The sequence below is a fragment of the Homo sapiens genome, chromosome 14 (genome assembly GCF_000001405.40).
Source record: "Homo sapiens chromosome 14, GRCh38.p14 Primary Assembly".
NCBI lineage: Eukaryota > Metazoa > Chordata > Mammalia > Primates > Hominidae > Homo > Homo sapiens.
This window is the reverse complement of record NC_000014.9, coordinates 81059708-81073444: the sequence shown is the minus strand read 5'-3', so window position 1 is coordinate 81073444 and position 13737 is coordinate 81059708. Positions and strand designations below refer to the sequence as shown.

General features: G+C 35.6%; 1 protein-coding gene and 1 long non-coding RNA gene across 7 annotated transcripts in view; one reads left to right on the top strand and one right to left on the bottom strand.

The window, feature by feature from the left end:
* The window catches only part of TSHR (thyroid stimulating hormone receptor), a 190686-nt gene that overhangs the window by 72862 nt on the left and 104087 nt on the right, over positions 1-13737 (bottom strand). For 3 of the 4 annotated variants that reach the window (NM_000369.5, NM_001142626.3, NM_001018036.3), the window contains exons 2-3: positions 11226-11297; positions 5117-5191 (exon numbers count right to left, since the gene is read on the bottom strand). In NM_000369.5, coding sequence (NP_000360.2) covers positions 5117-5191; positions 11226-11297 — 147 coding nt within the window. Of the gene's footprint in view, positions 1-5116; positions 5192-11225; positions 11298-13737 lie in introns of those variants that run through there. The other variant, XM_011537119.3, reaches the window with a different exon arrangement.
* The window catches only part of TSHR-AS1 (TSHR antisense RNA 1), a 156341-nt gene that overhangs the window by 96962 nt on the left and 45642 nt on the right, over positions 1-13737 (top strand). The gene's annotated exons all lie outside the window — the stretch shown is intronic.

The window sequence follows — 13737 nt, the reverse complement described above, 5'->3', positions numbered from 1 at the left end:
CCATGTGTCTTTGAAAAGAATATATACTCTGCAGTTGTTGGATACAATATTTTTTATAAGCCAATATGATCAAGTTTGTAAATTATGTTCAAATCTTTTTATTAACTTTTTATCAGTATATTTACTATTTTGGTATGCTTGTTCTATCAATTATTGATAAAACTATATTAAAATAAGCTCTCAGTATGATTGCCAATTATTGTTTATCTTTTTAGTTCTACCAATTTCTGCTTTATATGGTTTGAAGCTATGCTCTTATAGACATTAAATTTAGAATCACTATATCTTATATAGTAATTCCTTTAATCTTTATGAAGTGTCCCTTAGAGTAAGACTTTATGCTTTATATGTATGCATATTTACATCAGTTTTCTTTTAGTTACTGTGTGCATTTTATATATATATATATATATATATATATATTTATTTTTTATTTTTTTTTTTTTTTGAGACGGAGTCTCGCTCTGTCGCCCAGGCTGGAGTGCAGTGGCGGGATCTCGGCTCACTGCAAGCTCCGCCTCCCGGGTTCACGCCATTCTCCTGCCTCAGCCTCCCGAGTAGCTGGGACTACAGGCGCCCGCCACTACGCCCGGCTAATTTTTTGTATTTTTAGTAGAGACGGGGTTTCACCGTTTTAGCCGGGATGGTCTCGATCTCCTGACCTCGTGATCCGCCCGCCTCGGCCTCCCAAAGCTTTTCACTTTCAACCTTTCTGTATAATGTTTAAAATGTCTCTTGTAAGCAGCATACAGCGAGTATTAAAAATTCAGCAATCAATCTTTGTATTTTACTTAGAGTATTTAGTCCTTTTACATTTAATGCAGTTAATGTAAATGCTGATTATTTGGAGTTAAATCTACTATTTATTCCAGAAACTCTCTATTTCTTCCAATTTCTCGCTTTTTTGTATTAATTAATTAATTTCATTCCATTCCCCACTACTATTAGCCTGTTAGTTATCCAGTCTTCTACAAGCATTTTAGTAGCTGCCCTGTGAGTTAAAACATTTATTTATGATTTATTAAAGTTTAATTTCAGTTAGTACTTTTACCACTTCTCAGATAATTCAAAGACCTTTAGAACACTTTCACATTATTTATAATGTCCTATACTTTTTTTAAAAAGCTACTGCATATTTTAATTCTATGCATACAAGCAGTTCTACTTTGAATGGCTCCAATACACATGAAGTTCAGTTACCATGATTTAATCAAATGTAAATAATAACTGTCCTCAACACATCCCTCAAGTTTCAGTTACCATAGTATATTAACTATTAATCATTGAATAAAGTACAAACTTTGTTGCTAGCTCTTCAGTCCACAAATCACTATGTAAATAACAGATGCACATTATAATAGGTGACCAACTACATCACTCTTCAAAGTCATTGATGGTTGCTCACTGGGCATCTCTTGCTCAGTTCATTCACAAACAATAAAGCATGTCATTGTGTTTCCTATGTGTTTCCCAGTAATCACCTCATATGACATTTCCTAAAAATGGCTAATTGAAAGAGTGAATTTACCAATAAAGATGAAAATGAAGCCAAGAAATGAAATGTAATATTACTGAAAGGGAAATTCAAACAAAATGTAAATGGAGTTATAGAATAAATCACTGGCATGAAAATGTTGATACCACCACCATCTGAGACTATTTATTTATTTATTTATTTATTTTAGAGACCAGCTCTTTCTCTGTCATCCAAGCTGGAATGCAGTGGTGTGATCATAGCTCACTGCAGCCTGGAATGCCTGGGCTTAATTAATCCTCTCACCTCAGCCTCCCATGTAGCTGGGACCACTGGTTTGCACTACCATGCTCAGCTAATTTTTTTTTTGGTAGAGACAAGATCTCACTATGTTGTCCAGGCTGGCTGAGAAACTCTAGATATTAATCAGAGGAACTTAGTGATGGGAGAAAAATGGATGCAAAGGATGAAGATGTCCCAAAAGAAACAATGACGGTAAAAAAATTTTACATTAAAGAAACACTTGAAAATATTTTATAATATTTAAAAAGCAAAGGATAAAATGATGGAAGCTAATCTAGACTTAGAAAGAAGTATGACAATTTGCCAGGGTATTGAAAAGATATTCTATTGTAACTTATATAATAAAGATAAAAGGTCAAGCACTGTCTAAGCTACTCTTGCTAAGCTTTTACAAAGCAATAAAGCATTTTACTTCTAAGTATTTCTAATGTTGACAATTACAGTATGTGAAATATTAGTTTTATTATTTTTTCTTTCCATTTATAACTGACTGAGAAATTTTAATGTTTTCATAAAAGCTTTTAGAAATCACAACACAATTTTTCTTATTGATTATTAAGACTGCTTAATACAGTTTCAGTCTGCACAATTTTATGATCCCACACTATCATGCAGAGCAAAGAACAGTATTTTAAATCCCCTAAGACATTATTTCATTTTGTGCAGTCAAGGTTCATTTATATTTACCCATATATTGACCTTTTCTGTTGCTTTTCATTTCTTCCTGCACAGAAATGTCTTAGCATGTGGGATGGCTTTCCTTTTGTCTTAGTAATTCCCATTAGTAGTTCCTTTAATATGAGCCTAATGGTAATAAATTCTCTCAATTTTTGTTTGCTTGAAGTATCTATCTTTTTCTAATTTTAAATAATCTTTTGGTTGGGTTGGCAGATATTTGCTGTTTTGCTGTTCACAAATATCTTTCTGTTGTTTTATAAGTTCCATGATTTCTGTTGAAAAGTCAGCTGTCAGTCTTGTTACATCCTTGAAAGTATTATTTATTATTTCCTTGCTGCTTTTTTTTTTTTTTTTTTTTTTTTTTGAGATGGAATCTTACTCTGTTGCCCAGGCTGGAGTGTAGTGGCACAATCTCAGCTCACTGCAACCTCTCCCGCCCAGGTTCAAGTGATTCCCTGCCTCAGCCTCCCGAGTAGCTGGGATTACAGGGACACACCACCATGCCCGGCAAATTTTTGTGTTTTTAGTAGAGACAAGGTTTCACCATGTTGGCCTGGATGGTCTCAATCTCCTAACCTCGTGATCCGCCTGCCTTGGCCCCCTAAAATGCTGGGATTACAGGCATGAGCCAGCGCGCCCAGCCTTGCTGGCTTTTATAATTTTCTTTTCGTCTTTGGTTTTTAGCAATTTTACTATGATGTGCCTCGATGTAGCTTTCTTCGTATTTATCCTTTCGGGGTTTGCAGTACTTCTAACATACGTGACTTGATGTCTCTTAAGAGTTTTGGAAAGTTGCTTTCAAATATTGCTTTTCTCATTCTTTCTCTCTTTTCTTGGGATCTAGTCATAGGTATGCTAGATTTTTTATTGTGCTATATATTTCTTATTTTCTCTTTCTCTCCATGCTTCAGACTGATTATAGTCTTCTGACCTATCTTCCAGATTACTAATTCTCCTTTGAGCTATGCCTAATCTCTTGTGAAACTCATGTATTTAGATGTTTTATTGACTTTTTAGATTCTAGAGTTTACAACTGATCCTTCTTATCATTTTCAGTTTTATTCTGAAATTTTCTCTTGCCATTTAAATTTTTGAACATGTTAGTTATTTTAAAGTCTGTGTCTGATAACCAATATTTGAACTTCCTATGGATCATTTTCTATTGTCTATTTTCTTCTCTTGATTTTTTTGCCCCACAAACTCGAGTTATTTTTTATTGATTCAAAGCTAGGCTTTAGTCTTTGCAAGGGCTGATCTAGTCACAGTTTTCCCATACTTCTAGGATGAAGCTCTTTAGTGATCTCAACCAAAATCCTGGATTGTTTACTAGGAACAATCCTTCTTAGCAAGCCCGGAACTCAGAGTTTTATTTTCCTAGCCCTAATAGATGCCTAAACCTCTGGTCAGTTTCTTAGCCCTTAAGCTTTTGCTTACAATTCAGGAAATACCTCAAGGGAAAATAACCAAATGATGTTTTTGGGATTTGCTTATTGCCCATTGAGTTCTTACTGTCTTCATAACACTCTAATACTTTCAAACATTTTTTTAAAAATTCAGCTCCTTAAGTTATTCTCAGACCAATAGTTGATCTGATGTAAGGTAGCCTACCATACTTGTAAGCAATATCTTGGACCTCAGTATTCTTGAAAGCATCTTAATGTAGTGGATAGGGAAGAATTTTTAAGTCATACATTTATGGTATAAAGATTGTGGCCCTGTCCCTTGGTAACTGTGCGACCAAGGAAAACATATTTAGTCTCTCTGCATTTATGTTTTTCTTATATAAATAATGGAAATAATTGTATTTACTTCACAGGGTTGTTTTAAGAGGTAAATAATAACCAAACAAATAATGTTCATACAATGTTTAATGTAATGTTAGGATATACTAAGTATTTGTAGATAAGTATTTTTGTTTCTTCATCAAGAAAATAGAGTTCATGATTAGTAATACATAGCTACTTAAAATAATGCAATGTGATTATTTATGTAACACTTTTTATAGATTGTAATCTACTAGCGAAATAGAAAAATTATTCTATTTTTGAATGGTATATTGACTGGTTTTCAGGTGCTAGATATTATATAATTCCATATTTATGATAAACATGAAGTTGCAGCTCTTATTACACTTATTTTGCAAATGAGACTAGGAAAGATTATGTGACTTGTCCAAGGGTAGATAATGAGTAGGCAGAGATGCCGGTGTTCAAATCCAACTCTGACCAACTCCAGAACTAGGGTTATTAAATTCCCTACTATTCTAATCTCACCAAGCAACTCTTCTCTTTCCGAATTAAGGAAAATATGCCAGCTTTGTAGAATCTTGCACAGACCATAGAATCAAGTAGTTACTCAGTAAATACCTATTGTCTCACTGACATTCACATCAATAAAATATGCTGACACAGTAGTAATAGAACAGATAGTGGTTCAAGAACAGAACTTTTAATGTTGTCTTTAACTTCCAACCATGGAATTGAGGTGTAATGAAGATGAATTAACATGAACTGAGAATGAGAACAGGTTAATAATTTAATCATAAACAGAAGTTTTGACTCACAATCAAGAAACCAGCTCCCATTGCCATCTGGAGCCCCAAGATTATCAGTCAAGAGTGGTTGTGGCTTAGGTCTATGCTGCACTTTTCCTTGTACTTACATGTGAGTCACTTTACTCAAATTGTAGAAGGAGTGTGATTCCAGCTGCTGCAGAGTCACATCTATAGATACGTAGCTGAATGTCAGAAAAATATAAGACAAAGTAGAAAGTTAGTAAGGTTGTAAACTTCAAACATACTATTTTTGACATAACTTTTTGTTATGCGCTTCCCAGATCATGCAACATGTACAACCCTCATGGATTCTGCCAAATTATGTTAAAATTACTTACTACTTTTTTTTTCAGATCTTGTGATACCTGAATTCCTCCTGTATATTAACTCCTATTTATCTGAAATTATCATTTAACTGTCACTTCCTTCAGAAACTTTCCCCAAACTCCCTGATTAAAATTTCCCATATGCATATTTAGCGATATATATATATATATATATATATATAGTGTCACCCTGTGGAATGTTCCACTACAGAATTGAGGTTTTCTCTTCATCTTCTTTGAAACTACGTGTCTAATTCCGTGTTACTAGACATTCCATTAAAAATGCTTCTTATTCACTCTAGTGTTCTTTTCTGATGCTTGCTTTTATTTTATTTTATTTTATTTTTGCTATTTTGAGGAACTCTTCCATTTTAAAGGAACTCTTCTATTTCCTTTAAAATACACAGATGTCCAAGACCTGGTCTAGGATAATTAAATCAGAGTTTATGAAGGATGAGTCAAATACTTTTATTTTTCAAAAGCTTCTTAGCTGATTCTAATGTGTAGGCAATGTTGAGAACCACTGACCTATAGTTTGAATTGAACCTGCCATACATATGTATATATGGTGTATATATAGGGATTATATATAGTGATATATCACTATATATATATATATATATATAAAACTATAAACTCCTTTCACTAATTATCAGAGTGCAAATTTCCAGTTCTTTGGGTGATATTTCTGTTGTCTCACTAGACTGTAAGTTCTCTGAAATGCAGAACTGTGCCTGTTTTTGGCCACTGAATCTTGAGTGCCTTTCAGAGTGCTTGGCATGTTGTCGACTCTTATTAAACAACTGAATGAATAGAAGAGTTCCTCAAAATAGCAAAAAAACATGAGCATCAGAAAAGAACACTAGAGTCAATAAGAAGCATTTTTAATGGAATGTCTAATAACATGGAATTAGACATGTAGTTTCAAAGATGAAGAGAAAATCGCAATTCTCTAGTGGAACATTCCACAGGTTGACGACATACTCCCTTAAGACTTCTCTTCATGATTTTAAATGAAGCTGAAAATTCAAGCTCCGTCTTAAACTTTGTAAGCAAAAAGTAATTCAAATAAAAGCTTCAAGTACTGAAAAAGGAAAACAGAGAAATTCCTAAATACAACTTGTCAAGAACATATAAGGAATATTTCAAATAGTTTCCTCAAATTCCATCTTGTAATGAGAATGACTAATGCAGCCAAATTCAATGACCACTTTCTATTGTGAGGTATTTCTATGACATTTGGGAAAATGAACAATTGACAGATGGTTTCCAGCCATAGCCATAGCAGAGATTCTCAACCCTGGACATGCAATTAAACTACCTGAAGGGCTTTAAAGTACACAGATGTCCAAGACCCGGTCTAGGATAATTAAATCAGAGTTTATGAGGGATGAGTCAAGTACTTTTATTTTTCAAAAGCTTCTTAGCCAATTCTAATGTGTAGGCAATGTTGAGAACCACTGACCTATAGTTTGAATTGAATCTGCCAGTAAAGTATCCTCATCGATGCAATGTTTACAAGAGGAGTGCTGATTGTTCCATTCTAAGTTTTTATCTTGGTTATTATGAGTATTATAATGGCTCTGTGCTTTCTATTTTGAATTACCTGTTCTCTAAATAATTATCCTTTGATTTACCCAGTCTCTTAACCCTTTGCCTCTTGCAGATAATAACGTTATATAAATTGTTTTGATACAAATATATTTCTAACATAAAGGAAACAATGGAACAGATTGAAAGGAATTAATTTACCGTGTAGAGACTGTGGGGATTTACCATGGATGAAGCTGAGCAAGCTAGCAGAGCAAGATTCATTTTTCAAGGCTGCCAACTTGTTTCCCTAAGCATCTTTTCCATTGCTCCAAATCTTCTACTGAATTTCTCAGTTAAGAAGTATGAGTCTTTCTCAAGGTTCCAGAAGGATAGTCACTCGGCCCATATTATCAAATGGAAGTTCCAGTTTCTCCAACCTAATGACATCTTTTTGTATGGCTGTGATTGCTTGGTTGTGAAGACAACTGGCAGGAATCGTTTATTCAGGGGGATAAAAATTGTGATTCCCTGCTTACTTACCCCATTTTTACAACTAGGAAAAATCAGATCCTACTTCTTCTTCGCATTTAAACATCATATAATCATTACAGTCACCATATGACTTATCATTCAAACTGGGATAGTTTTGTGAGTTAAAGCAAGGTGCCATTAACAATTATGCCAGAATCCCAAGTGGGAATTTGAACCATCTCAGACAAACCTAGCATCATCCTACTGATCTCTTTCTTCTCCCCAAGATATATCAAATCTTTAATCATTATTCAGGTATGTGTATGTGCTTTTATTCCACAAATATGTATTGAACATTCATTGTATGACAGACATCCTTCTGGACAATGACAAAACAGGCCTGTTCCCTACCTTCAAGGAACTCACAGTACTCACAGATACAGATTAATGTACAAGGTAAATGGGATTAACACAAGGTGTTAAATGCTTGATAGGGTTCAGGGACCCCTATCACTTAACCCAGACTGGAGAATCCAGCAGTCTCCCTGGGGGAAGCCTCAGTGGAGCCTTCAGATCTGCCTGGGTGTCTCCTATATCTCAGTCAACCAACCCTCTTCTTATTGCTCACCACTTTTATTTCAAATCTTCTCATCAAATTTCTAACTCTGCCACCTCCATCTTCCATCTTCTTAGATATCCTTTAATAATTTGATAAGTCATAGAAATGTTTGAAACTTTAACACGAGAATGCCTTGAATTCCCCACCAATAAGCCTATTAGTTTACCTGCATCTGTCCCATCTTTTCCTACAACTGAGACAGCTAAGTAAAAAAGGGCTCCCTAGCAGAACCTTCAACTGCCTGTGCCCTGGGAGAAGTGTGTACTGGGGTGGAGCTTCGGGAAGTTCATTTATAGTGGGGAGGAGCCTGGCCTCTCCTGTTGTGGGGTGGTACCTGGGATTCAATCTGTGAGGCGGGAAGTGGACTAGGAGGACTCTCGCTTTGCTGAGAGTCCCTGTTTCCCTCTTTTCCTCTTTCACCCAATAAATTCTATTTTTGTCACCCTTCAAAGTGTCTGTGAGCCTAATCTTTTATGGCCATGTGACAAGAACCTGGCTTTTAGCTGAACTAAGGAGAAAGTCCTACAACATGACTTCCTCGTTATGATGTAAAAAGTGACCATCTTCCTCTAGAAGGCCAATCCCTCTATTTGGATCTCATCCCCTCCTGCCTCTTCAGGGACCACATGCTCTTAAAATTGTTCTTTCTTCACTCTCTTTAGCTTCTCCCTCTCTGCGGATGCCTCCTCCTGGTCCCAGTTACACCCAGTTGTTTGTGACTCTCAATCTCTACCTGAATCTCTCCCCTGAGTGCCCCCATATACCCAGAACTCCCAATCCTCTTTACTCTAATTTACTTTTTTTCCCATGTACTTATTTCCTTCTAAATTAGTATCTAATTTACTTATTTATTGTGTTTTTGGTTCATTGTCTATTTCCTCCCATTCAAATGGAAACTCCATGGGGACATGGATCTTTGTCTGTTTGTTCCCTGATGTATCCCCAGCTCTCAGAGCAGTGATTGGCACATAGTAGGGGCTGAACAAATATTTATCAAATGAATGAAAAAATTCTGTCTGTGTCCTGATGTGTACTCAATATAACTGCACCTCAAATGCCATATGCCCCAAATTGAATTCCTAACATACCCCCTGACCCTCCACAGCAAATATACAAAACACTTCTCTGCCTAAATGAATGTGCCGATCAACCACACAGATGTCCTAATCAGAAACTTGATCAGCCCTCCCTTATTTATGTCTCAAATCTCTATCCTTTTTCATTATTCCCACTCAATGATCATCCTTCAATTTGCCATCCCCTGTACTTTGGGCACTGCATCAGCCTCTTCACTAGCTTCCTGCCTACAGCCTTGCTCCACTTCCACCCCTCACTCCACTACATAGCCAAGGGAATGTTTCTCAAATGAAAATCTGACCATTTCTCTTGCCTGCTTAAAACCATTGAATGGCTCAGCCCTTAGGGAAGATTTTAAACTCCTTCACATGATTTACAAGACCCTGTACTAACTTAGACCTAAGTTTTATTTTTTTCTACTGCCCACCTCCCTGCCTAAGCTCTACCCCCAAGAAACTTATTATATTTCAATTCTTCAGAAAGCCCAGGCTTTTCCCTTCTGCTCTTTGCTATATAATGCAGATCACAGGTCAGGTGCTATTTTTTTTTTCAGGAAGTCTTCCCCAACTCCTCTCCCTGCTCCTGTGTAGGTAATAGACCTCTTATGTGAGTTTCCATATCACCCAATAACTGACCCCATCATGATACTCATCACTCTCTTAGGAATAAAACTGAACTGCTGTGAGTTTTGTCTACTGCTGTGTACGGAACACCTAGCAAAGTGCCAGGCACAAAGTAGGGCTCAATAAATATCTGTTGAATGAATGAAGTAATGGCCAAGCTGTTGGGACATGCAAACAGAGACACCAAATAGGCAGTTGTATAAGGTAGATGAGGGAAAAGGAAGAGCTAAAGGAGAATTCAAGGTTTTTAGCTTATAGGATGCTACAGTGGTGCTGTTAAAAGAGAAGGAACAGCTTGGGAGGAAGATGATGTGTTTATTTTGGATATGCTGGTTTTGAAGAGCCTGTGGGACATCCAAGTGGTAATATTTGGAAATTAGCTGTATTAGGAAATAGTGCAGCCCAAGGAATGGGAGTGTTTACTCAAGGAGAGTGGGGTATAGAGGAATTAGAACAAAATATACAAAGAAAGAGCTGGTAATTAAGTAGCTGGCAAAAATAAAATAGGAAGTCAGAAAAGGAGACTAAGGAAGAGTAGCCAGGTGAGACAAGAAGAGGAATGAGAGAGCAATATCAAGGAAAACAAAGAGGCAAGAATTTGAAAGAGGAAGGACTTGTTAGCAACATAAAAAACTGCAGAGATGTTCAGTAGGATGGTCTGTCAGCCTCAGCACTGCTGACATTTTGGACTAGATAATTCTGTTGTGGGGACTGTCCTATGAACTGTAGAATGTTCGGCAGCAACCTTCACTTTTACCCACTAGGTGCCAGTAGCAGCCCCCTCTCTAGTGGGCATTTAGCAACCAAAAATGCTAAATGCTTCTAGGGGTAGAGTCGTCTGTGGTTGAGAACTACTGAAATGACAGAAACACTAACAAAATGGCCACGGAGTGAGTACATTTGGCCAAAAACTGTACAGGTTGCTTCTGGTTATATTATTTCGCATGCCTGAACTATCTGGATTGCCTGTCAAAATCAATTAAATGAAATAAAGACCTGCTTCATTTCATTCACTCTTTGTCAACCCAATATGGAAAATCCCTTTTCTCCTTACTGTAAGTGGATAGCAATTCAATTTTTAAGGTTTAGAATTATTTTTAATTCTCTTTTAACGTGAGAGATCTGAAACCACTGGCTACGTTTATAACAAAATGTAAATATTTGTATTAGTAGTGAAAGGTGATTCAAGACTTGGTGACTAGGACAGATGGATGTTTGTCTATCTGTATATATGTTTACTTTATAAACTACGGGATGTTTATAGGAGAGATTTACAGCTAAGGTTTTGCCATATCCCAAGATATATTAAAATACATCGAGAATTATGAACTGCTCAAAATCAAATGAATTTAAATTTGATTTAGGTTTTAAAAAATCATGTAGGAATTAGGGAGTAGAGATATAGCAAAATGAAATAAAAATCATGTACATAAAATTGTCATATACATTGACAATATAACTGCCATTGATTTATGCAAGTATAATACCAAGTATTTTTCTTGATAGAACACGTTTAGAGAATAACATATCACAAATGCAAACTTTTCTTTATATTAAAAAAACTTACATTCTGGAAATATTGGGCAGATTAGAAAATGCATGACTTGGAATAGTTCTCAGGTGAGTCTCAATAAGCTTCCTGTGAAAATAACAGTTACATAATTAGAGTTTTAATCATTGGGCTTTTCTAATAATTCACCTTAATTATAAAAACACATAATTAAAAAGCATGACAGTTTTCACAATATGTTGGCTGATACATAATCAACAAAAATAATACTCAACAAACATACCAAAGAACCATATGTACACATTTTTTTCTCCCAATAAGAATTGTTAGATTCAGATGCAGAAAGTAAATCATCAGACTTCATCTATGAATTAGCAGTAAACTAATATGTCTTGCCTCGCATCACACTTTATTTGTTAACTGAAGGGCAATATTTTTTGGGGGGTCTTTTTATTAAATTGAAAAAACATGATTATTTTACCTTTTAATTTAGGTTTGGGGGTACATGTGCAGATTTGTTATATAGGTAAACTGGTGTCAGGGTTTTTTTTGTACTGATTATTTCATCACTCAGGTACTAAGCCTAGTACCCAATAGTTATTTTTTTCTGCTCCTTTCCCTCCTCCCACCCTCTGCCTTCAAGCAGGCCCCAGTGTCTGTTCTCTTTGTGTCCATGAGTTCTCATCATTTAGCTCTCACTTATAAGTGAGAACATGTGGTATTTTGTTTTCTGTTCCTCTGTTAGTTTGCGGAGGATAATGGCCTCCAGCTCCATCCAAGTCCCTGAAAAGGACATAATCTTGTTCTTTTTTACGACTGCATAATATTCCATGGTATATATGTACCACATTTTCTTTATCCAATCTGTCACTGATGGACATTTAGGTTGATTCCATGTTTTTGCTATTGTGAAAAGTGCTACAATGAACATTCGTGCGAACAACATAATATATTGTATTATGTATGTTAAGACTACTGAATTTATAGCATGTACTTTTCAATGGAAATGCCTTGGAATGCTATCAGAATATACATTAAGTACATCTTTAAAAGAATTAAATGCATGTTTTAAATCTTAAGGATTAAAAATAGTAGCATGGTTACTACCTTCTTGCACAAGTAAAAGTCTCTTCGATCATATCTTGATCTTATCATCTACATGCTGCAGTCTGGAAATAACTGACTGGCAAGGAGCAAATTCTTCCTCAGAATCTTAAGACATCTTTGTTGGATTTGCACCTTAAAGGTGTGACTTTTCCTCCAGTTTGCTTTTTTGAAGACTCTTCAGAAGGTGGAGACTGTTCTCATCATACATAATGAAACACCTTCATGCATTCCAGTATGCCTCTCCACCTAGGCACTCCATTTTTTGAGTTACGCTCTTTACTATAGTTACTACTTGAGAATCTTGTATGGAAAACAGTGTGCATAGTGTATTAACTTGGCAAAAAGACAATGCCTCAGCATACTACTTAGCTTCTCCATGTGTCTGTTTTTGCCATTTAATCACACTGGTAATCACACATCATCCAGTTAGTACCTCATTTATAGATAGTAGAATAACATTGTGTATTTTTTCTTCTCTAAGCTGAGGGGTTACTTTTCAACAATATATTTCCTTGGTCTATGCTTTCTTTGAAGTATTCATTTTTGCAACTATTAAAATATATCTGTAACTTGCCTAATCAAAGCATCAGAAAGACCAAATTAGTTGGTAAAAGCATCTATTAAAATGGAGGGAGGGAGGTGATGTGAATGTCAAAAGAGTAAATCTGCAACTCTTCCCAACCTCTGGTGTTTTGCCATGAAGCCCAATGTTGCCTTAATATTATTTCAGAAATTCAGGTCCCATAAATTACTTGTTCTCCTTTGAAGGTCTCCCACTTTTATTTCCTTAATTGAGTTATCCGGATTCTGAAGCTAAAAAGATATGAGAAGAACAAGTCATTCTACCAAAATCTCTGTGTAAAATTGGGCCATGCCAAAGGAAAACAAAAGATACACACCTGTTGAGTATCACCCAAGGCGATTGAGTTTAAGCTCAAAGATAGTCTTACTCATAGAGCTGTCGTAAGGCAAACATTTTGTGGGCATACTTACGGTAAGATTGTAGGTAATATGGGACTAAACTGTAACCTTCACTGACTAAAATTTTTTGAGTTTAGCCCATGTTCAAAAGTAAATAACATATATAAAATTAAATAGGAAACTAGAATAAGATTGCAATGGTTTCTAAGAAATTAACCTGGAACAGAAATAGCATCTAAGTGCAATTGGATAGTCTTTGGGCTAAAGGTTCAAATAATGTTTCTATTCTTTCCCGAAGTATGAGTTTCTGAAATATATAACACCTGTTTCTTGAATTCTCTCTCTCTTTTACACACATACAGTTCTGAACAAAGATCTTTTTCCCACTATTGAGTTAGTTGTGGCACAAGGTGTTTTAAAAGACAAAAATATTTGAAATGCTAATGTTTTGCTTAATTCCACAAACAAGATATTTTTCCCAGCCAGATTTTTTTTACCAAAGAAAGCTCACCAATATATATAGACCAATAAGGATTATGTG